At 37.2% G+C, this 25,787-nt stretch overlaps 1 protein-coding gene across 9 annotated transcripts in view; it reads left to right on the top strand.

The window, feature by feature from the left end:
* The window catches only part of PRKD3 (protein kinase D3), a 74,332-nt gene that overhangs the window by 10,162 nt on the left and 38,383 nt on the right, over window positions 1-25,787 (top strand). For 6 of the 9 annotated variants that reach the window (XM_005264238.4, NM_005813.6, XM_047443853.1 and 3 more), the window contains 3 exons: window positions 21,401-21,539; window positions 23,673-23,804; window positions 25,159-25,316. In XM_005264238.4, coding sequence (XP_005264295.1) covers window positions 21,425-21,539; window positions 23,673-23,804; window positions 25,159-25,316 — 405 coding nt within the window. In that variant the 5' untranslated portion in view covers window positions 21,401-21,424. Of the gene's footprint in view, window positions 1-21,400; window positions 21,540-21,732; window positions 21,751-23,672; window positions 23,805-25,158; window positions 25,317-25,787 lie in introns of those variants that run through there. The other 3 variants (XM_047443854.1, XM_017003744.3, XM_047443855.1) reach the window with 3 other exon arrangements.

The following is a 25,787-nucleotide window of genomic DNA, read 5'->3' as shown; positions in this document are numbered from 1 at the left end:
TCAATCTTTGGAAATTTCATTTACTTATTTTTTGCACAGTTTTTTAATTGAGAAAAAATTGTATATATTTATTAAGTACAGTATGTTCTTTTGAAATATGTATATGTGGTGTAATGGCTAAATTGAGCTAATTGATTTACTTCTACAGAGGTTTACCAGTTTTCTGCAGGATTATTCTAGAATCAGTGTTACTTCATTAATATAAATGTGAGGAGTGGGTCAGTGGGTGAAATTCTTGGAGAACCAGATTAAAAATCTTGATCTGTGAGCAACTAGAGTGATGTCAGGGAAATAGGATATAGCTTAAAAAGGATAATTATACAAATATAAAATAGTTATTGATTGTGGACATAGCAGCATAAAATCGATATAGTAAACTGAATTTTACAATGACTCTTGCAGGGGAATCATTTTTCCTCAAGAGGAACTCTCCCCATTCTCCCGTGTCTTCTACTCTTGTTGAGTGCAGTTTTCTATAAATGTCAGTTGGGTCAATTGGTTGATAGTGTTCAAATCTTCTATATCTTTATTGACTTCTTTCTACTTTCTCTTATCTTTTCTCGAGAAAGGACTATTGAAATCTCTCAACTACAATTGTAGATTTGTCTTTCTCCTTTCAGTTTTATCAGTTCTTTTCTTTGATTTTTTGGCGCTCTCTTATTATTTGCAAACACATTTGGGACTTTTACAGCCTTTGATATATTGATCCCTTTTTCAATATAATTTTTCAAGATCTTGTTCTGAAGCTTACAGATGTTCCTTGGCTTACAGTTATGTCCTGATAAACCCATGGCAAGTTGAAAATATTAAGTTGAAGGTGTGTTCTGATATATGATATTTTCAATCTGCTGTGAGTTTATCCTATTGTAAGTTGAGGAGCTCCCTGAACGTGTATCCCTTTTGCACTATTGTAAAGTCGAAAACTTGTATGTCAAATCATCTTAAGTGAGGGACTGTCTTAAGTGAGGGACTAATACTTGGTGTTAATCATTCTTTTTATAAAAAATTAGTGTTTGCATTGTGATATCTTTTCACATGCTTTACTTATGACCTCTCTGTTTTCCTATGTAAAGTAGGATTTTTTTAGCTTGCATGTATTAATAGTTGGGTATGCTTTTTAGATTCACTCTGTCAACTTCTGCTTTTTAAGTGTTTAGGCCATTTCTATTTAATACTGTTTTCCATATAGAAAACATGTGTTTAAATAGATTGGCTGTTTTCTATTTGTCCCTTCTGTTCTCAGGTCCTTTTCTGCCTTCTTTTGAATTACATTATATAATTCCATAGTACCTCCACTGCTGGTTAATTATACTCTTTACAGTTTTTTTTTTTTTCATCAATTCCGCTAATGCAGGGGTCAGCAATCTGTATCCATAAGCCGAATCTGGCCCACCACCTGTTGTCAATAGAGTTTTATTGGAACACAGGGTGCTCAATCCTTTATATCTTGTCTGTGGCTTCTTTTGTTCTGCAGCAGCAGAGTTGAGTAGCTGTGACAGAGACCATATGGCCCACCAAGCCTAAAATACTACTGTTTGGCCTGTTGCAGAAAATGTTTGGAAATCCCTGTTCTAGTTTATATAATATGCATCTGATCAGAGTATCTTCAAACAATATCATAGCACTTTATAATGTAATATATACCTTAGAACAGTATATTTCTATTTTCTTCCTATTGTCATTTTTATATTTTATTTCTACATGCAGTCAATTATTGTTATTCATAGTAGTTATATTCTGTAAAGTCACTGAGAACACTGAATTAGCTAATAGTGAACGATTGCTCCTAGTAGGACCTAGTGGAACCTTTGTTCCTAGTGGGAGGATAGGTTCCTGCAAGCCTCTGGTCACATTTTCGTCAACCAATAAATACATAACCTTGTTTTATGTGTTTCTGTTTGAAGACACTTTATTTAATATATATAGTTGATTCATTAACATTGTACTCACAGCTAACAGCGCTGTTACTTATACCTGAATGTTATTGAACACGTGTAGTTACTCTATAAGGGACATCATAAACTTTTTGCACTTGAGAACACTAGACTGCTTCAGCACTGTGCTTGGGAGCCATTTTAAACAGAAGAGTCACTAACAAAAGATGAAAAAAATGCAGAAAATATGGCACTAAATAGACTGTGAAAAGGACTCTTATTTACACTATAAGAGCTGGAACAAGAAGGCAGAGCTATAACAAGACTTTGACTTGAAATATGTAGTACGATAGAAAAGCTGTGTTTGCCTCTGAGCTGTGCCATGACCACATTTGAAATAATACATTGTTTTAAATTTTTTTCACTCCCAGCCTACTATTGGAAATAAGTTGAAGGGGTGTGAACCAAGCTCCTTGTCAGATATTTCCACGATTCAGTAATTTTTGATGAAATAGTTATAATCAAATGAATAAACTCATAACATATATTTTGACAAATGCAGGCTTTATTGCTATGTTTGTGTCTATTTTTTCCCAACAAAATCTTAACCAGTCTGCTTTTGAACAGCCCACAAGATTTTCTGATTACTCTTATCATTGAGCATTTCCTGGTTAGCTTTTTTAAAAATTATAGGCAAAAGTTCAAAGCTTGTTTTGTCATATTTATGGAAAAAGAAAAAAACCTAGTTTTAAAAAATCTTTTACAATAGGCCACATGTTACAAGGATCAGGATGTTTACAAACTCGATGCATGTAGTTGCAAGGTTATATGCATTTTAAATGTGGACTTGATTTGTAACAGTGGTTTTCAACCCAGACTGCACTGGAGAGTAACTAGGAGGTTAAACAGGTCCTTCCTAGACCAATTAAATCAGGTCCTTTGGGAGTGGGAGTCTGTTTAAGAGTTCTATCTATGATTCTAATGAGAGCCACAGTCTAGAACCTCTAGTCTAATGGAAATTTGATAAGCCTAAGGACCAGATAAGTAACAATCTGAAGATACATTTTTTCAAATATTGAAATTGTATATTTTGTCCCGTGAGTGCCATCTTATTTTCCACATACTGAAAATATACTTTAAAAAAATTCTTAAAATTAAAAATTTCAGAGAGGTCTGCAGCTGATTATAGGTTAATGTGATAATTGCAAATTCTAGGTAGATTTTCAGTCTCCCTGGTGGCAGTTTGCAGAGAGCTAAATAGTGTTATACAATTATCCTACACCTGGGTGCCATTATCTGTTATGGCTTTGCTTCAGTTGAACAAATATTTATGGTGCACTACTCTTCAGTCACTGTGCTAGATAACTGTGGAAGCTCCCAAGATGAAACACAAATTCCCTGCCCCTGTGATTTATGCTCTAGAAAAGAAGATGAGCAAATGTCAAATTGCCCTAATATAAGGTAGATGTAAGTCCTGAAATAAAGGTACAATATGATAAAATGACTCAGGAAGGAGAGCTGTCACCTTGTTGGAAATATGAAATCATATTTTCAATCCTACTTTTTGCTTGCCATCACCAACTGTAGTACTTCACCTGGAGAAATAAGCTTTTGCTGGTACAATGCCATGCTACTACTTTGATAGCTTGTAGCATGGATAAAGCAAGATACCTTTAACATCCTCACTAGTCTGTGAGACAGCAGATACTGGTCTCTTTATGCACATATAGAGTCTGCTTTCTTTTGCTTGGTCAGATAAAAAGTTTTGTGATTCTGCTTCCTAGTGGTGCTCTAAATTTTATTTGTGTTAGAATTAGTTATTCAAGAAATTCGTGATAATCTCTGCCCTCTTCACTCTGCAGCAGTTAACTGGACAGACGTGTAGTTGCCAGCAATGAGCAGGTGACAGAAATATGTGATTGCTTATGTATAAGGTATTATTGCAAGATTACTTACAAAATAATGCTGATCAATCTCTGATCTCTGGTCCAGATTCCTTTCCTAAGCTTCAGACATGCCATGTTCTATCTTTTAACTAGCCTTGAACACCCTTTCATTGCCACATCCTCTGCTTAGACCTCCAGCAAGTTTTTTTCTGTATGGATGTTGGCATCCTATCCAACACATTGTATTTTAACATTCATAATGCTCATTGTAATTGTCTCTTTTCTTGACTGTATCCACTATAAAACTAAGCTTTATGATGCCAGATATCATGGCCACAGTAGGTGCTCAGTGAATATTCTTTGGTTGAATAAATAAAGGAAGGAATTAATATGAAGCAGTATAGTGTTATAGTTAAAACCATTAGTTTTGGGGTTAAACTGGAGTTCATTTCTACCACTTATTAGTTGTGTAATCTTGATTCCTTGTCTGAAAAATGAGGTTAAAAGTAGCACTCATCTCTCATCATTGTGTGTGTATATTAAATGATATGTTTCTAAAATGCTTAGCCCAATACTTAGCAAATAGTAATCACACAGTATATGCTAGCTAATCAATATTATTATGTATTAATCTGATCTTAGTGGTTTCCAAACTCAAAAGAAAACTTGAGCTATTACACTTCGAGGTCCCTCTCTGTTGAAGATTTATTAGAATTAGCCAGTGGTAATCTAGAAATGACTGAAAACTACTATCAATTAAGTTTATGTTAATTTTTTGATTTGTGCTTTATAGAATATATACATATGTCAAAATCTGTTTTCTCTGTAGAAGACAGCTGATTCCTTCCTTGATCTGAATAGGTACTCACAGTTTTCTATTAGCTTTACTAATTCTCCTTTTATTGGTACAGAAAATTAGAGGTTAATGGTATATCAATTCTGTGATTTATTTTATCTTCTGTTCTTGGGCTGCATGTGAAAACCTGTGACTTCTATATTAGAATATTTTGGTATAATATATTCCTAAGGGCATAATGTGCTGCCTTTTTTTTTTTTTTTTTTTTTGAGACGGAGTCTCGCTCTGTCGCCAGGCTGGAATGCAGTGGCGCGATCTCGGCTCACTGCAACTTCCGACTCACTGGTTCAAGGGATTCTCCTGCGTCAGCCTCCCGAGTAGCTGGGATTATAGGCACGCACCACCACACCCAGCTAATATTTGTAGTTTTAGTAGAGACAGGGTTTCACCATGTTGGCCAGGATGGTCTTGATCTCCTGACCTCATGATCTGCCAGCCTTGGCCTCCCAAAGTGCTGGGATTACAGGTGTGATTGGCCACCGTGCTTGGCCAAATATGCTTCTTTAGATTAATGGTGATTGCATATGTGACTTAAGAATCTTATAATTTTGAGGTCAACTGATTTAACTAGTCAGTTAATTACCATTGTTGAGCAGTGAGTAAGTAAGCATGCTTCTCTGTATTTCTGTACCCTTAGGCTGTTATTTGAGATATTCTTGCATTGTATACACATGCCCAAGAATTAGACTGTTGGAAAGAGCCTATAGAATCAACTCTAAAGGGATAGGAACAGTTAAGTGACATTGTATAAGATCTTTTGATGTCACAAGAGGTACAGGAAAACTAACCAAGAGTGCATAAATATCTCCATTAGAAAAAAAGATTAAAAATATTTAGCAACAATTATCTTAAGAAACGGGTAAGTCCAAATATAAATAAAATTAAAATCTTTAAAAAATTTTTTAAAGACCTTGTAAAATGAATGCGTCTTCTTATGTTCCTGAAAAAGGAAGACTGATAGTGTGTAATTTTTACTTCTCCAGTTAAATTTCTTTCCATTAAAGATTTTTATTGGTATTCTTTTTACTCTGACAATGTTAAAGTTTATCTGGAGGAAAAATAGTCAAGAGCATTAATTTAAAAATCTGAAAAATAAGAGAGAAAGAGAAGAAAAACCTACAATAACTGAAGTTATATACTATCTGAACATAAATAGATAAGCACAAGGTACTTTTAGGTATGCCAAAGGAGTCATGAGAAATTAAAAGGAATCATTTTTCAAAAAAAAAACAGAGCTTAAAAAACTAGTTTTAAGCAGTTGAAGGAACATTAACATAGACCTTCACTTAATACCTGACACTAGCTGGGCGCGTTGGCCCATGTCTGTGATCCTAGCACTTTGGGAGGCTGAGGTGGGTGGATCACCTGAGGTCAGGAGTTTGAGACCAGCCTGGCCAACATGGCAAAAGCCTGTCTCTACTAAAAATACAAAAACTAGCCAGGTGTGGTGGCAGGTGCCTATAATCCCAACTACTCGGGAGGCTGAGGCAGGAGAATCGCTTGAACTCTGGGTGGGGAGGGAGGTGGGTGGGGGTGGGTGGTGGCAGAGGTTGCAGTGAGCTGAGATTGCGCCACTTCACTGCAGCCTGAGGGAAAGAGCAAAACTCTGTCTCAAAAGAAAAATATGACACCAAGGTAAATTTCAGTGATTAAAGGTGAAATGTGGAAACTCAAAAGAAAATTTACATATAATGGAATTGACTATCAAACCTCTGGACAGCAGGCAGCTCACTTTCAGATCAATAAAAGAAAACATGAAAAGATCAGTTTAGAGATTTTATTAAAAATTATAACGTATACATATATAAAAGTAAAAGCAACAAGATTGGGAAAATGTTACGGCAAGTATTATATAGGTTAATGTCTTCTTTCTACATAGAGCTCATGTATTGGTAAGAAAAACTGATCTCAACACTTGGTCAAATGATATGAGAGTTATGTTTTACAAAAAGATTAAATTAGTAAACAAGCGTGCAGGAAGATGTTCAAAACAGTTTTAAAATATAGTTTAGGTATCGTGTTAAGTTGGGGGAAAATGAAATTGGCGTTCGCAGTATGGGGGAGAGCATGGTAAAATTTCATAGAAATAGAGAACAATCAATGATTCAAGTCTTATAATTTAAAAACTAGATTAAATTCTAACAAGAATATCACAAAACATATACACTGAGGTTTTTGTCCCAAGAAAATATCTCTAACAGATCATTTATCGTTGAGCTTTGCTTAAAACTTGGATATGACCAAAAGCGTTCACTCTTTGAATTTCATCCAGTTTCATTACACACCCCAAGGGTGGAGTAGGGTGGAGTTTCTTTTACTGTTGTTGTTGTTGTTAGCATAAGCCAAAACTTAGCTTCCTTTTTTCAAAGCTTTGAAACCCTTCCAACATTTATGATACATTGATTGATGCTGTCTTATTCATCTTTTATCCTCAGAGATGTCTTACATTTAGTAGACATTTGGTAAAGAACACATACCTGCTCTTCTAAAAACATGATACTGGAAATACAGTTTTATTGATGAGATGATTTATAGTTATTAGAGCTGAAAAGAGATAGAAATGAGCAGATAAGCATCAGTATTCTTTCCCATCTTGTTTCATATATCCGGTGCCTTAGTTGTGCCCAAGCTGATCCCACTAGCTTAGATTGTCAGATAATTAGTTTGTAGAGCTTGTTTTTCCTGGGATTGTGCAAAAGGCCAGGGGTTCTTCTAGAATGCTCTGAAATTTTTAAAGTTATTTATTTCCTGAACTTTTTCCTTATTCCACATAAGAATGTGGATTAGGACTTTGGACTATTTTACTGGCAAATGTTATAGTCTCAGTATCTGATTTTAATATATAAGATCAAGTTAAATTGTTTTCATCTGATGAGATTTTGACCCCCTGGGAACATTTGGCAATGTCTGGAGACGTTTTTGGATGCACAACTGGAGCAGGGGGGCTTCCAGCATCTAGTGGATAGAGGGCAAGGAAGTTGCTATGATGCCCCATACAACAAAGCATTATCTGGCCCAAAATGTTAATAATGCTGAGGTTGAAAACCCCTGGGTTAAACTGATGGAGTAATAGCATTTCTGAAGTTTGAAGAAATCTACAATGTCTCTCTTTTAGTACCATTGTAGGGGCTTAGTAAAATAGGGAATATGACTGTCTCCTAGATTAAAATCTTACAAATATGAATTGCAGCTTGAGGTCTTAAACAGGATTTCTAGTTTTGCCTGGGCATTTTTGTTTTTGTTTTTTGAGACAGGATCTTGCTCTGTCACCCAGGCTGGGGTGCAATGGCATGATCACGGCTCACTGCAGCCTTGACCTCCTGGGCTCAATTGATCCTCCCACCTCACCCTCCCTAAGTAGCTGGACCACAGACTCCGGCCACCACGCTCGGCTAATTTTTTTATTTTTTGTACAGATGGGGTTTCACCATGTTGCCCAGGCTGGTCTTGAACTCTCGGGCTCAAGCGTTCCCTCCACCTTGGCTTCCCAGAGTGCTGGGATTACATGTGTGAGCCACCACACCTGACCCATTTTTGTTTAACAGTGCACAGTTTTTATTGTGAGTATGGATATAGTTAATGTGAATTTTTAACCTATATATATAAAAAGTTCCTATATCTTCATATTGTTTTATAAAGCAAAATTAACAACAAACAAGATCTCTGCCTTCTAGAGGTTTATAAGCTGAAGGGAATGTGTTTTTACTGATTAAACCCGAAGAACTAATGGTACTGGGAATCAGGAGAATGCAGAAGGCAGACAAATCTGAGCAGCAGGTAGAACTGGAATTGAGCCAAACAGAAATTTCCTGATCAGATCACAGCTGGGAGGCCACTTAACGCCTGATTACAAGGGAGAAAACTGATATTGAGGGAGTAGGCCAGAAGCCTCGCCCATCTTACAGTGATTGTTCATGCTTGGATTTTCAACCTTGAAATTACATTAACTCTGTTACTGGTGTAGTATGTTTAAAAAAAAAAAAAAAAAGAATCCAAGGAAGAGATAACAGAGTATATTATGCCATAGCAGAGTTTTGGAATCAAGGAGAGACACCTGGGTTGTAGTTGCTATTCTGCCACTGATGATAGGCCCTTTTCAAGTTACTTCTGACCCTCAGTTTTCTCAGGTGTGAAACTAGTGTCATAAAGTCCACCTCCATAGAAGAATGGTGGTTAAATGTAAAGCCCCAGGTAGTGTCTGGCACATACTTAGTGCTCAAAAGTAGTTAATACTCATGATTTCAAAATCTGTTTAGATATGGAAAGATCACTGGTCTTGTAGTGATCTTAAAGTCCCAAAGCCTTCATTAGGTAGCCTGCCAACATGCTTACATTGGTTTGCTCTTGCCTTTTGATTTTAGCATTTAACGTATAAAAAAACTATAAAAAACAGAGATAAAGTGTTTATCTTATTAAAGGGCCTGGATTACTTGTTTTAAGAGTTTTGAGGAAATTAAGAGTCTGTAGCAAGTGCTTTGCACAATTTCTGATGCATATTGACTGCACTCAATAGCACTTCTCCACCTTTTTGCTTTCATATTGCTAAGAGGCTTAGAAGATACCACTATAATGCTCCTGCTACTGTATAATTTGTTGAATGAACATAGTAGATATAATTGGAGTGAGAAAGGAATTGGTAGACAGCAATTCATTTTAAGTTATAATGCTGTTTACAGAAATTGGAATAATTCTTACAAAAGCAGATTGTCTGCTTTTAGCTGATTTAAAACATTTGGTTTTAGTTTTGACGATTTACGTGACACTAGACCTGAAGGTTGTTTGCTTATGTAGCCTAATTGAGGAGTTATTTTGGTCTGTTCTTTAACTGCATCGTCTCTGTAGATACGGATTGGGTATAATTTTCAGGTTATGCCAAAGTACACTGAACACCCCAGCTGTATCTTTTGTTGTCAAAAAAAACCCAGTTGTCATTCTATGTTGTTTTTTTTTCTATCCATTCTTTCTACTACAGCTGTGTTGCAGCAGCTTAGTGACATCCTGCTCTTTATTCTACCCCTACTTTTTTTGTCTAGGCAAAATCAATGTCAGGCAGCCATTACTAATCTGAAAGCTCAAACTGGAAGAAGAAATTTTTTTTTAATTCTACTATTCATCATAAGACCTTGGCTAGAATAGAAGATCCTAGATCTTTAATTCGGAAAGTTTGAATTAAAGATAATCAGAACTAATAACAAAACAAGAAAAAATGAGAATGAAAAAAGATTGCTTTGGTTGGTATCAGAAAGGCAGGTGTTAAATAAAGCAGCTCCTCTGGTATTTCTTTTTTTTTTTTCTTTTCTTTTTCTTTTTTTTTTTGAGATGGAGTTTTGCTTTCACCCAGGCTGGAGTGCAGTGGTGCAATTTCGGCTTGCTGTAACCTCCACCTCCCAGGTTCAAGTGATTCTCCTGCCCCAGCCTCCCAAGTAGCTGGGATTACAGGTGCCCGCCACCATGCCTAGCTAATTTTTTGTATCTTTACTAGAGATGGCGTTTCAGCATGTTGGCCAGGCTGGTCTCAAACTCCTGTCCTCAGGCGATCCATCTGCCTCAGCCTCCCAAAGTGCTGGGATTACAGGCGTGAGCCACCACACCTGGCCTCTTATGATATTTCATATCCAAAAAATTCTGGGTTCAGGTTAATGATGAAAGTTAATAAATTCAAGTCCATGTTGAGTCATTTTCTAATTGACTCAGCTATCGTCCTTATGTCTGTATTTAGAAACAGAATCATTGAGCTGCTTCTCTCCAATTAAATATTTTCCTAAAATTGGTGTTAATATTAGATTTGTTTCTGTGTAATTTATTAGTGCTAAGTTAGTTGCTCAATAGTCAACACTTCTTTTTTTTTTTTTTTTTTTTAGTAAGTACCTGTTAAGTACAAAGTGCTTGGGGATTCAGGAGGAACATGAAAAGAGAATATTCTTTTCCTCATGGAGCTTGTTTACTATGATCGAGTTTATGTTTAAAAAGACTTGTGAAGATTTATTTGGCATCAAATTTTAAAATGACGTTGGTATTCAGTGTCACAAATGCATTTGAAGAAACTTGTGATGCTGATTTTTAAAATGACGTTGGTATTCAATGTCTCAAATGCATTTGAAGAAACTTGTGATGCTGATAATATTCTGTATCTTGACCTGAGTGGTGGTTATGTGGGTTGTGTGTATGTTTATGAAGCTATCAAGCTTCTAATTAAGATTAGTGCATTTATTATATATCAAGTACATTTTAAAAGTAAATGTATGTTAAACTTCGATCGTTTCCCATTGCATTTAGAATAAAACCTTCATTCTTCTTTTTAAAAAAGTACATACTGGCTGGGCACGGCAGCTCATACCTGTAATCTCAGTGATGTAGGATTTTTCTTGACCTCTTCATCGGACTTGGGACGGGGTACCCTGTTTACTCAGTCCGCCACACTCAACCTCTTTTGGGAGGGAACATGTGAGCAAACGAGTGCAGGATCTGGCTAGCTGCCTTGAGTGATGGCAGGAGCAGACTTCATACCTGTGGGGCCCTTCAACCTAAGGGCCCCACAGCGGCACTTAGGTTGTGGTGCCTGAAACCCCCCAGAGGCCCCAGAAGATATAATACTCTCTTAGGTCTGCCATCCATGGACAGCAGCGTGTTATCAGCTCAGTGGGCGCCTTGCCTCATCGTGTGGGGTGGCTGCCCTCCACCAGCAAGGGGAAAGGGCCTATGCAACAGCCTTTTTTGGGGTACTGGCACTTGTTGGGTCTCCAGTGCTTGTCTGGCATCTAAGAACAATGAGATCCCCCAGACACTTGAAGGATGGTGAAGGTGGTAAGTGATGGGAAATGGCTCTCAGCAGAGTGGGATGTGGGAGAGGGGACGGGACGGGCAGGTAATCTTCTCCTGAGGTCCAGCGGCTCTTCCCGATAGTCAGGCCATCCTCTGAAGTCCAGCTGTCCCTCCAATGTCAAGTCACCTCTCTCCAGTCAAGCTGCTTCTCTCTCTCTACTGGCTGAGTCTGGGGTCTTTATAGGCACAGGACAGGGGTTGGGCCGTGGGGCCGGCCGTAGGTAGTTTTGGAAAAGGCAACATTCGATTGGTAAAAAGACATTTAGAAAGAACCAATCAGGAGAGAGCAGGCAAACAGAGATAGAAGTTCTCACTTTGGGCAATGGGTTTCAGGCTTTTCATCTTGAAGGTGGGGTTTCGCCAGGACCCACCCCTGTCTGCCTAGTATTTCTCTGCCTTCTGTCTCTATCATCAGCACTTGGGGAGGCTTGAGGCAGAATGATTGCTTGAGTTCAGGAGATGGAGACCAGCCTGGGCAATATGGTGAGACTGTGTCTAAAAAAAAAAATTAAAAGTTCATAGTGATAAATTATTCATTCAGATAATGTTAAATTCAGAAACCATTGTTAAAGTGCAAAAATTATGTTTGACCAAGTGAAATAACTTGGAAGCTTCCTACCTTGCCTGACATTTTACTGACAGCATTTTAACGACATGAACTTGAAACGGTTCACCTTAAATTACTTTCAAAATAAGTGTTGCTTAAAATAATTTTGTTTGCAACTATTGGAACCTTTTACTTAAAAATGTTAAGTAATGCTGTAAAAAATAACGTCTAAAATGGTTATAGAAAGATTATTTTTTAAAATTATCGAAGTCATCTTTAATACAAAAGCAAAGAATGAAGTGAGCAGAGTGCATGAGGGTGGAAATTTAATAACTGATATTCTGTTGCATTCCCATATGGACTGGGAAAATACTTCATTTTGCACAGTCAAGAGGGGTCATCGGCACAGTTTGTAGTAAGCAAATCCAGAAAAGCTCGGGGGATGGGGGAACAGTTGGAAAGAGGCCAAATTAAAGGGCCATTTTGCTTCTACCATGCTGTATCATTAGTTATTTCTTTAATTTCCTCTTTCTTTTAATCAAGGATGAGGTAGGCCAGGTAAGGAATTATGGACTTGTCTGGTTTTCAAAAGGTTGCCAACTTCTTCCACATTTCCTAGCCTCTTTATTCTCTTGACTCTTTTATTCCCTAAAGCAGGATTTCTCAGCTTCAGCACTATTGACATTTTGGGTGGGATAATTCTTGTGGGGGCTGCCCTCTGTGTTCTACAGTGCTCTACCCACTGAATGCCACTAGCTCAAGTTGTGAAAACCAAAGATGTCTCAGGACATTGTCATATAGCTTCTGTGGGCAAAATCATCTCAGCTGAGGATCATTGCCCTAGAGGAATAAACTAAATAATAGCCAGTGACAATTCCTGACAATTACTTAAACATGTCATCACCTCTGCTGCTTTTCTGAACTTCTTCCCTCTCAGGAGAATAGAATGTTTAGAAGGGATATATATACACCATTTTACTGGGCAAGAATTGTATTTTGAAGAATATAGAGACAACAGCATTAGTACAGGTTTCTGCCCCCGCCCCTTTTGACTCTGTGAGCATAGCAGAGTCACAAATGTAATTAAGGGCCAGGAAAGGTGACTCGTGCCTATAATCTCAGCACTTTGGGAGGCTGAGGCTAAAGGATTGCTTGAGCCCAGGAGTTTGAGGTTGCAGTGAGCAGTGATCAAGCCACTACATTGTGGGCAACAGAGGGAGACCCCCACTCAAAAAAAAAAAATGTAATCCAGAATTGGTTTTAATTAGTTTGCCAAAATATTTTCTCCTTTTCAAATTATACAACTGAAAGAAAAAAAAAAGGCTCTTCTCCTTTGTTCTTTGTTCTCCTGGAGTCTGATTTAGAACAAGAAGCTATTATCTTAAAAGCTCTCTTAGGTTTCACTGCTGTCAAATCATTTTGAGAAATTCTACATATATACTTTGGAATATAAAGTATTTTTGTTTATGGTTTTTTGATATGTTGTTCAGGACTTATTAAAGGTCTCCACATAATGAAGATCATTCTGAGGAGTAATTGGATTTGGAGTTTTAAAGATGATCAATCCATTAAAAATAAGCAAAAATATGAATTCCTAATTTACAGAAAAGAAAATACAGATTCACTTAAGCATGTGAAAAATGTTCAACTTCTTGTAATAAAAAAAGAAATGCAAATTAAAACTACAAAAATACCATTTTTCATCTAAAGTCAACAAGTTTGATAATACACTATAAAAACGTGGCAAAACAAGTACATACTCAATATATTACTTGCAGAAGTATAAATTGGTTTGACCGCCATAAAGAGCAATTTGGCAGTATCTACAAATTTCAAATATGCGTTTTCTTTGAGCCAGCAAATCTCCTAGAAAGTTATCTCATATTCAGACTCAAAAAGTGGGAAAAGATATGTACATAGGATTACTCATTGGGTATTGCTCATACTCACAAGAGATTGGAATAGCTAAGGTGTATTTAGCTTATGACGAGTTCTAATCTCTTTTATTTCTATTTTTCTGGATAAATAATAGTTGTACATATTTATGAGGTACATGTGATATTTTGATACAAGCATACAATGCATAATGATCAAATGAGGGTAATTGGGATATCCATCACCTTAAATATTTATCATTTCTTTGTGTTAGGAACAGTCCAATTCTACTCTTCTAGTTATTTTGAAATATACAATAAATTGTTGTTAACTGTAGTCTACCTATCATGCTACCAAACACTGGATCTTATTTTTTCTATCTAACTGTAGTTTTGTAATCATTAACCAACCCTTTTATTCCCCCCACCCACTACCCTTCAGAGCCTCTGGTAGTCATCATTCTACTCTCTATCTCCATGAGGTCATTTTTTTTTTAAATTTTTCACATACAAGTGAGAACATGCAATACTTGTCTTTCTGTGCCTGGCTTATTTCACCAACTGAAATGTTATTCTCTACTTCTGTCCATGTTGTTGCAAATTATAGGATTTCATTCTTTTTATGGCTGAATAATATTCCACCATGTATGTGTATCACATTTTCTGTATCCATTTATCCATTGATGGACACTTAGGTTGATTCCCTGTTGTGGCTATTGTGAATTTTGCTGCAGTAACCATGGGATCGCGGATATCTTTTTGATATCTTGGTTTCTTTCGGGTAGATACCCTGTAGCGAGATTGCTGGATCCTGTGGTGGTTTTATTTTTGGCAACCTCCGTGCTGTTTTTCATAGTGACTGTACTGATTTACATTCCCACCAATAGTGTATAAGCATTCCCCTTTCTTTGCATCCTCACCAACATCTTTAATTTTTTGTCTTTTTGATAAAAGCCATTTTGAGATGAGATGATATCTCATTGTGGTTTTGATTTGCATTTCTCTGATGATTAGTGATGTTGAGTATCTTTTCATATACCAATCGGGCATTTGTATGTCTTCTTTTGAGAAATGTATTATTTAGATCTTTTGCTTATTTTTTAATTGGATTTTCTTTTTTTGTTGTTGTTGAGTCATTTGAGCTCCTTATATATTCTGGTTATTAACCCCTTGTCAGTTGAATAGTTTGCAAATATTTTCTCCCATTCTGTAGGTTGTCACTTCACTTGTTAATTATTTCCTTGCAGAAGCTTGTGTGTGTGTGTGTGTGTGTGTGTGTGTGTGTGTGTGTGTGTGTGTGTATTTTAGTAGAGGTGGGGTTTCACCATGTTGACCAGGCTAGTCTCGAACTCCTGAGCTCAGGCAGTCCACTACCTTGGCCTCCCAGAGTGCTAGGATTATCAGTGTGAGTCACTGTGCCCGACTTTTTAGCTTGATGTGACCCCCTTTGTCCATTTTTATTTTGGCTACCTGTGCTTTTCAGGTCTTACTCAAGGAGTCTTTGCCCAGGCTAATGTCCTGGAGTGTTTCCCCATTGTTTTCTTCTAGAATATGAGGATGGTTCAGCATACGCAAATCATTAAACATAATATGTCACGTCAACAGAGTGAAGACCAAAACCCATATGGTCATCTCAATAGATGCCAAAAAAACATTCAGTAAAATTCAACACAATGAAAACTTCGTGATAAAAACTGTCAACAAACTAGGTATAGAAGGAACATACCTCAAGACAGTAAGGGCCATATATGACAGACATGCAGCTGGTATACTGAATGGGAAAAAACTGAAAGCCTTTCCTCTAAGATCTGAAACAAGACAAGGATGCCCACTTTCACAACTTTTGTTCAACATAATACTGGAAGTCTTAAGTAGAGCAATTAGACAAGAGAAAGAAATAGATGGTATCCAAATTGGAAAGGAAGATGTCAGATTATCCTTTTTTGCAGACGATATGATCTTCTATTTAGAAAAACCTAAAGACTCTGCCAAAAAACCATTAGAACTGATAAATGAATTAAGTAAAGATGTAGGATACAAAATCAACATACAGAAATCAGTAGCATTTCTATATGCCAACAGTGAACAATCTGGAATAGAAACCAAGAAAATTATCCCATTTACAATAGCTATAAATAAAATAAAATACCTAGGAATAAGCTTAACCAAAGAAGTGAAAGATCTCTACAATGAAAACTATAAAACATTGATGAAAAAAATTGAAAAGGACACTGAGTTCTTTGTATATATATATTAACGTATTCTCATGATAATTTTATGAAGTAGGCAAGTAGGCACTATTTTACAGATGGAAAAACTGAGGTTAAGTAACTTGGTTAAGATTATATACTTAGATGGGACTGGTGAAAGAAAACTATACATCTGTTTTTAAAAAAAAAAATAACTTTGTTAATGGAATGATCTCTATATTGCTAAGTGAAAAAAAGAGCAAGCTGCAGAACAGTGTTTATAGTGTGCTGCCATTTGTGTAAAATGAAGGAAAGATACATTCATGTGTATTTGGTATGTAAAATATTTTCAGAAGGATTCTGAGAAAACTGGCAACACTGTTGACTACAGGACGGTTAATGAGGCAGCTAGGGCATGGGTGTGCCGTCTACTCTTTTTTGCCTTTTGAACTTTGAATAATTGCCTATTCAAAAATAAATAAAATTATATTTTAAAAGAGTACATATTATATCTGAAAGTATAAAGTAAATATCCATGAGTCTATATTGATATATATAAATGTTGTGAATAAATAAGTGGGGGAAAATAGATAAATCTCCCATTTGGAAGATTTTCAAATAATTTATGTAGATACTCCACCTTCAAGGAAAGGAAACAAACAAACCTTTCCACTTCTTAAGTGCTCTGCTCATAATGACTTACTTCCAAAGAGTATGTATAGAAAAGGGTGGGGGGAGAGTAGTTTTGCAGTGGAGAAACCTGACAAACACTACCTCAACCAACATCAGTGGTGATGTCATGTTGACAGTAGGTGCCCTTGGTAGAGTGCAATGAGAATGGCACTTTACCTCTGTGGTCTGCCTCCCCAAAACCCATTACCCCAGTAATAATGAAAAGAACATCAGACAAATTCCAGTAGAAAGGCCTCCTGCAATATACCTGACCAGAACTTCTCAAAACAGCCAAGATTGTTAAAATCCAGCAAAGTCTGAGAAACTAACCCAGCCCAAAAGGGGCCTATGGGGACATAACAGTTAAAGGTGATGTGGTATGGATGGGATTCTTAAACAGAAAAAGGGTATTAGGTAAAAATAAGGAAATCTGAATAAAGTATGAGCCTTAGTTAATGATAATGTATGGATATTGGGTTATTAATTGTAATAAATATAGCATGTAACTAATGTACAATGTTAATAATAGGGGAAACTGGGTATGGGGTAGTATACAGGAACTCTGTACTATTTATTGTCTACATTTTCTATAAATTTTAAACTATTTTTAAAAATAGATTATTTTTAAAGAGTATATACAATACATACATTGAATAATATTTTAAAAGTAAATTTAAAATTCAGGTGTTCGCCGCCTATTCCTCAGGAGCTTAACCATAAACCTGAAATGATAGCCTAAGCATCCTTTGTTTTAAGCTCTACAGGTGGTTCTGATGTGTGGCCAGAATTAAGACATTGTTTAGAGATCCACTCCTGCGTGAAAACCTATTTTCTGAATTTTTCAAAATCAGGAACAGTAAATCCTTGTATATTGAATTCATTAACAGTTTGGTTTTTGTTTGTTCTGTATAATTCTTCATAATGAATGTGTGCTCATTATGAATGAGGGGTGTATTTCTTTTTAGGTGTATATCTTTAATATACACGTCTCAAGAATTCTCATGTTTTTAGTTTAGACTCTTACATAATTTTTTTTTTTTTTTTTTTTTTTTGAGACAGAGTCACGCTTTGTCGCCCAGGCTGGAGTGCGGTGGTGCCATCTCAGCTCACTACAACCTCCGCCTCCCGGGTTCACGCCGTTCTCCTGCCTCAGTCTCCGGAGTAGCTGGGACTACAGGCGCCCGCCACCACGCCCGGCTAAATTTTTGTATATTTTTTAGTAGAGATGGGGTTTCACCGTGTTAGTCAGGATGGTCTTGATCTCTTGACCTCCTGATCTTCCCGCCGCGGCCTCCCAAAGTGCTGCGATTACAGGCATGAGCCACTGCGCCCGGCCTGACTCTTACGTAATTTCTAAATACCCTACCAAACATACCTATAAATCATAATCACGAATAGCAGAAATCTTTTTCACAGGCTGGCTATTACATTTTTTTTTTCCTTTATGAACTCTAATTTGTCTGTCGTATAGATGAGTATAGTATGAAAACATGCTGAAATGACTTTATTCTTTATCATTACCAACAGCTTTCTAGCCTCTAATATACATATGTCTATTTTTAATGTTTTGTAATATCTCACTGTAATTTCTTTACAAGCTTTTAAGTCTCTTAATACCAACTTCATGTTGATATTATTTTTCATTAGGCCATGTGTTTATTAAGAAGGTTATATTTATTTTTTCCAAGTCATACATTAATTATTTTGATGTTGTTTTCCTTCTCTTGGTGTGTTTATTATTTAGGTCTTCAGTTACCATTATTCAGAACTTCTGGTTTGGTCAAAACAGTATTGATGAGCCATATGATTTATTGATGATAGTTTCTGGAGAGAAATTTCCTTGTCTCTTTCCATTTACTTGCTATAGTTTCTGGAGAGAAAGTTCCTTGTCTCTTTCCATTTACTTGCTGTAGTTTCTGGAGAGAAAGTTCCTTGTCTCTTTCCATTTACTTGCTGTAGTTTCTGGAGAGAAATTTCCTTGTCTTTTTCCATTTACTTGCTATATAATTCAGACTCTGATACTTTTCTGACTGATAGGGTCACCCTTTCTTCAGCATCTTGCTCTCTGGTCTCTTTCTGTTCCTGTTCCTCTACACAATGCTGTCAGCATTATCTTTTTAAAATACAGATTTAATCATGTTCCTGCCTTGCTCTGAAACCTTATGTCTCGTCTCCCTTTTAGGTATACATTAGTGATATAAATCACTGGTATTTATGGATCACAGTGCTGAGACTTTTACAGCCATCAAGTAATTTAATTTTGATAAGAACTCTATAAAGCCAGCCTATAACTCCTATTGTCCTCCATTTTATAAACAAGAAACTGATTTAGAGAAGTTAAGCAACTTTTCTAAGGTGCTATAGTTAGTAGGTGGCAAAGTTTGAACATAATAACAGGTTTCTTTGTTAGTATGGTGCCAGTGGGGTTCCCTGTGCTTTTCTGCCCTCTCTCTACCCAGCTTTCCCCCATCTCATTCTTTAGTCTCAAGGCTCCACTTACCGTCTTCCATTTACCTTGTAACTTCTCATTGATGATGCTTACACTTTCAACCTATGGAAACTCTGCTTCTCTTTTTTAGTTCTGCTCAAGTATCATACTGAATCCCTCTACTCCACTGTCCCAGTTAACATTTTTTATTCCTCCTCCTTCTATAATTTTTTATTTTAATTTTGTTATTTGCCTTATACTATATATATTTGTGTTTATTTCTGTCTTCCTACTAGATTGTAAGTTCCTGGAAGATAAGGACTATTCTGTCTTTACAAACTGTGGGGCCAGTATCTTGCACTTACCGGACATGCAAGAAGTATGCCTTTTTGAAATCAGTTTTATTTATACAAATAGTAGAGTGAGTGAGTTTGTTTGTTTGTTTGTGACGGAGCCTCATTCTGTCAGTCACCCAGACTGGAGTGCAGTTGTGCAATCTTGGCTCACAGCAACCTCTGTCTCCCAGATTCAAGTGATTCTTATGCCTCAGCCTCCCAAGTAGCTGGGACTACAGGCATGCACCACCACACCTGGCTAATTTTTGTATTTTTATCAGAGACAGGGTTTCACCATGTTGTCCAGGCTGGTCTCAAACTCCTGACCTCAAATGATCTGCCTGCCTTGGCCTTCCAAAGTGCTGGGATTACAGGCATGAGCCAGTGCATCTGGCCTTAGAGTTTTAATGAGGATGGAATGTGGAGTCCTTTGTCCTTACAAATTTTTGTAACTAGGTTATGAAGATATTTTATTCTCCAACTGAATAATTTCATAAAATTTAGTAAAATTTTAATTTTAAAATTTAAATGAAGATTTAATTTTTTGGTTCTGTATTTTTACTTGTATCTTTTTAATTGAGAATTCTTACACTCTTAGATATATGTTAAACATACTATGAGGTTTTACAAATACTGTTGGTGACTCAAAAGGAGAATTAGTATTACAAAAATTCTAAATATTTCTGTACTTTCCCATTATTTACCCTGGTTACAAAAACTATAAACTTGTAACTTTCTAATTAATCATTGTTTTTAATTTTTTTTTAATTTAACTTTAAAAAAAGATTTGAGAGGCCAGTTGTGGTGGCTCATGCCTCTAATCCCAGCACTTTGGGAGGCTGACGTGGGGGAATCACTTGAGTCTAGAAGTTCAACACCAGCCTGGGCCACACAGCGAGACCCCTGTCTCTACAGAACATAAAAAATTAGCTGGGAGTGGTGACATGCACCTGTGGTCCCAGCTACTGGGGAGGCTGAGGTGGGAGGATCACGAGCCTGGGAGTTTGAGGCTGCAGTGTTGAACTGTGATCACACCACTGTACTCATCCTAGGCAACAGAACAAGACCCTATCTCAAAAAAAGGTTTTGAGAACTCTTTAGAAATATATACAGGACTTTTCTAATGAGAAAATTAAGGTCAGAAAATGAGATGAAACTAGGTTAGTGTTTGCACCTAAAACACATCCCATAAGATCCAAGACTGATGGTAAAATTGGGCTACAAATTTGGCTGTGCTTTTTCCATTTGGCAAAGCAAACAGGAAAACATGTTAACTTACGTGAGCAAATTGTTCATGTTATAAAATCAACTAGATAAAGTTATTTTGTGGGTGGGTCTTCACAAAGAAGGGCTACAGTATGAAATAGGTAAACGATATCAGCAGCAGCGTCTCTGTGACAAATGCATTTAGTTTAGTGAAACTGATTCATATTAGACCATTTGATGCAGGCAGGTGACATGGTGTCATTTATTAAAGGATATTCTATGAGGAGCCCAAATAAGTCAGTGAGCATTTATAATTCTGAGATCTACTGAAGAATTTTGAAATATTTAGAGCAGCATGTCCTAAGGCGCTGGAACGACTGCTTATCTTTCAGGCTAAGAGTGGAGTAGCAGTAAGTTTAAGATTATATTCTCCATCAGTAACTGAATATAGAAATCCTGTATTTGTAAGAGACATGTATTTTAAAATCATCAATGATTATTTATTTGTAAGTTTACTTTTCTATTTTTCTTGAACTTTAAAATTAACCAGGATGCTTGAGTACGTGGATCACCTTTTAGGTATCAATAGAATTGTTAGCAAATAGTGTTAGGTTAAAAACACTATGTTTTAAATTCTTTGATAAAATTGAAACGTTTACTTATAAAAATAGAAAACTGTGGTCATACTGATATAGGACTATTATCCCTCAGTTTCCAGAGTGTGGATTCTTTGGCATGTATGACAAAATTCTTCTCTTTCGCCATGACATGAACTCAGAAAACATTTTGCAGCTGATTACCTCAGCAGATGAAATACATGAAGGAGACCTAGTGGAAGTGGTTCTTTCAGGTAAGTAAGTGGCTTTTTAGAGTGATTGCCTTTTCCCCTCAAAGAGCCTAATTTTCTGTACTAAATGCTGCAATTCGATTATATTTAGTCTTTGTATTATTGTTACTTAATTTCTTTCATCTCTAATAATGGTCACCATATGATTTTTCCTTTCAGGCATGTTATATCACCATTAAGAAAGAAAAATACCTGGCAACGGTGGCTCACACCTGTAAGCCCAGCACTTTGGGAAGCTGAGGCGGGAGGATTGCTTATCTCAGGAGTTTGAGACCAGCCTGAGCAGCATACCTCGTCTCTACTAAAAATTTAAAAAAAAAAAATTAGCCAGGCATGGTCACATGCAACTGTAGTCTTAGCTACTTGGGAGGATAAGGTGGGAGGATTGCCTGATCCTGGGAGGTTGAGGCTGCAGTGGGCCATGATCACACTACTGCACTTCCGCCTGGACAACAGAGCGAGACTCGTCTCTTTAAAAAAGCAAAAGAAAGGCCTGGCGCGGTGGCTCACGCCTGTAATCCCAGCACTTTGGGAGGCCGAGGCGGGCGGATCACGAGGTCAGGAGATCAAGACCATCCTGGCTAACAAGATGAAACCCCGTCTGTACTAAAAATACAAAAAAAATTTGGCCAGGCGTGGTGGTGGGCGCCTAGTCCCAGCTACTGGGGAGGCTCAGGCAGGAGAATGGCGTGAACCTAGGAGGTGGAGCTTGCAGTGAGCCGAGATCGCACCACTGCACTCCAGCCTGGGCAACAGAGTGAGACTCTGTCTCAAAAAAAAAAAAAGGAAAAAATCAGGATAGGAAAATAAACTGAATTACTTGAATGTTACTAAGCTTAGGAAATTATTTGGTCTGAAAGAAATATACTCTTCTCTGAGTCAAAGAAATAAAACAGTTACACTGAAATTCTGTTTTTTCCCCTTCCCCCACCCCCATTTCTGTAAAGAGCATAAAAGAAGAAAATTGGGGTTTAGAAAAGAGAATCAGGAAAAAAAGAAGTAATGAAGATATGGAAGAGGAAATTACAATGCTGGTTATTTCTGTGGCTTTAAAATTAAAAATGCTCTTTCCCTTTTTGTCCCACTGGGCTTTTTTCTACCTTTCACTTTTTCCACCTCACGCATTCTTGCCATACGTTGTTTTTTAATTCCCACTATTTGCCATCTCATCCTGCAGCAATGTGGGCAAGATAATAAGGAGTGAAAAGGAAGAAAGAATGCCATAATAATGCACATAGTAGGTCTGCAGTACTTTTTGTTTGGCAAGTAGGAGAACTGATGGAAGAAAGGAAGCAAGCTGGCCAGCCATGGGTCAGAGCCCTGCTACCAAGTTCCCTTTTCTCAAATTCACCTTTGAGCCTTTTCTTGAGATCCTCTCTGTCCTTATTAGTCCCCACTCCTCTCATCTTATATTTCTGATTCTCTCATTCATCTCACTCCCTGCTACACTGATCATTCATCTTCTATACAACAACCCCAAACCATCTCTATATTTCCCAATCCTTGCCCTCCTCTTCATTCCTGAGGAGTTTCACTCCCTGTCTCACCTGGAAGTCCTGCTCACATCTCTTCCTTCTCTACTCTGGACTCCATCAGACTACTTGCAGGTTGAGGTGAGAGGAAGTTCCTTGGGTCTACTGTCCCGACGTTCACTAAGGGGAAAGGAGTTTCTTTCTCATATCCACTAGGACTGTGGAGAACAAACAGACAAGTATATCCTGGGATCCTAAATTAGGACTCAGTATCTTTTTCCACAGAAACGTTTCCATAAATTGAAGTTAAGTTCCATAGTAGTTTTTACTTTAGTGTTCTATTTCCCACTGTGTAAGTTAAGCAGTTTTTAATTGGTTAAAGTAACCTAATGTCTGTTTGTAATCTTGTCATTATGAGAAAATGCTGTTGGAGTTCCAAATAACTAACCTATGACCTACTTCTGGAGCTCAAATGATGAGAAGTAAATGGACTTGCTAAACTAGAGTTTGAAATCACAATATTAAATAATTTACTTTTATGGTCCAGTGCAACTTTCAGAGAAAAAATGATTCTGTGTACTTTGACATAAGTGAATGTGTGAGCATTCTTAATCTCATCGCAGTACAAATACAACGTGTATTGTAATACTTTTCTTTTTTAAAGCTTTAGCCACAGTAGAAGACTTCCAGATTCGTCCACATACTCTCTATGTACATTCTTACAAAGCTCCTACTTTCTGTGATTACTGTGGTGAGATGCTCTGGGGATTGGTACGTCAAGGACTGAAATGTGAAGGTGTGTGTTCTAAAATTTTTGTGGTCATTTGAAATAAGATTCCACATTTGCATTTTTTATTATCAGTGAAAAAGCAAGATGACGAGCTGTTGACTAGGGTGGTAACGAGGATTTAGAATTGGAGAGATCAGGACTCTCATTTTATCTCTGCCACCTACTTCATATTCTTGGGCAAATTACTAAACCTCTTAAGATTAATTTCTCGTAAAATACATTCTGCCCCACTGGTTTCATAAAGAGTAAACGGTTAAATCAGGTAATAGGGTTAAATATTTAGTACAAAATAATGGCTCCATAAATATTCATGTTGTTTTTTGTTTTTAAAAGTTTTCTTGGCCAGGCACGGTGGCTCACACCTGTAATCCTAGCACTTTGGGATGCCGAGGCTGGTGGATCACCTGAGGTCAGGAGTTTGAGACCAGCCTGGCCAACATGGCGAAACCCTGTCTCTACTAAAGATACAAAAACTTAGCCGGGCGTGGTGGCGGATGCCTGTAATCCCAGCTACTCGGGAGGCTGGGGCAGGAGAATCGCTTGAACCTGCCTGGGTGACGGAGGTTGCAGGGAGCCGAGATTGCACCATTGCACTCCAGCCTGGGTGAAAGAGCGAAACTCTGTCTCAAAAAAAAAAAGTTGTCTCTTACATACAACTAAATTGTCAAATTTGTTCTGAATTAGAATTGCTAGGAGTAGGACACAGGTGCACATTTCTGATGAAGAAACAGTCTTCTAAGGTGGAGGGTCAATCAACTTTTTCTGTAAAGGGACAGAGAGTAAATGTTTTAGACTTTGTTGGCCATATGGTCTCTGTCATGATTTAACTCTGCTATTACAGTATGAAACCAATCATAGACAATATGTAAACGAATAGATATGGTTGTGTTCCAATAAAACTTTATTTAGGGACATTGAAATTTGAGTTTCATAAAATTTTCATGTCACAGGAGGAATTTGGTACAGAGGCCATAGTTTGCTAACTAGTGCTTTAAGGCAGTGGTTCTCAAACTGTATTGTGCATCGTAAAACACACTTTGCTGGGCCTCATCCCCGTAGTTTCTAATTCAGTAGATCTGGGGTGGAGCCTTGTAATTTACATTTCTAACAAATTTCCAGGTGGTTGCCTTAGGGACCACACTTCAAGAACCACTGCCCTAGCTGACTTATCCTTTTTACACATTTCCTTTTCTTCTTGAATTCATTAGCTTCCACTTAGCCTGCTGTCTGGGTTCTTAATTAGGATAGGTATGGCTAACAGAAAATATGTTAAATAAAAGAAGCAGTGGTTTTTATGTATCACACTTAAATAGTAAATTTTTTTTTAAATCTTATATTTTACCTTGTAAAATATGTTTAGGCTGTGGATTAAATTACCATAAACGATGTGCCTTCAAGATTCCAAATAACTGTAGTGGAGTAAGAAAGAGACGTCTGTCAAATGTATCTTTACCAGGACCCGGCCTCTCAGTTCCAAGACCCCTACAGCCTGAATATGTAGCCCTTCCCAGTGAAGAGGTACGTATTCTAAGGTAATAGACATTTTAGTAGTAGTTATTCTCTGTGTTTCTACAGGGTGTATGACATCACTCTAGAACATAATTTATATGCTAAAGAATGGTAATGTTCCTACACTTAAGAAACATAAAATGTAGTAATGGAGACAGGACTTACCGGTAGTAATGAATTGCATTTTGTACACCTTGGGATGGTATTATGGCTTGTACCACTGCTTTAGCCTTCTAGTCAGTATCCTGGCTCCTGGTCTCCATACTTAAATCTTTTTTTTTTTTAATTTTTTTTTTAATTTTTGTTTTTTTGAGATGGAGTCTTGCTCTGTCGCCCAGGCTGGAGTGCAGTGGCACGGTCTCTGCTCACTGCAACCTCCGCCTCCTGGGTTCAAGCAATTCTCCTGCCTCAGCCTCCCAAGTAGCGGGGATTACAGATGCGTGCCACTACACCCAGCTGATTTTTGTATGTTTAGTAGAG

This window comes from Homo sapiens, chromosome 2 (assembly GCF_000001405.40).
Source record: "Homo sapiens chromosome 2, GRCh38.p14 Primary Assembly".
Taxonomy (NCBI): domain Eukaryota; kingdom Metazoa; phylum Chordata; class Mammalia; order Primates; family Hominidae; genus Homo; species Homo sapiens.
This window is presented reverse-complemented; position numbering and strand designations above follow the sequence as displayed.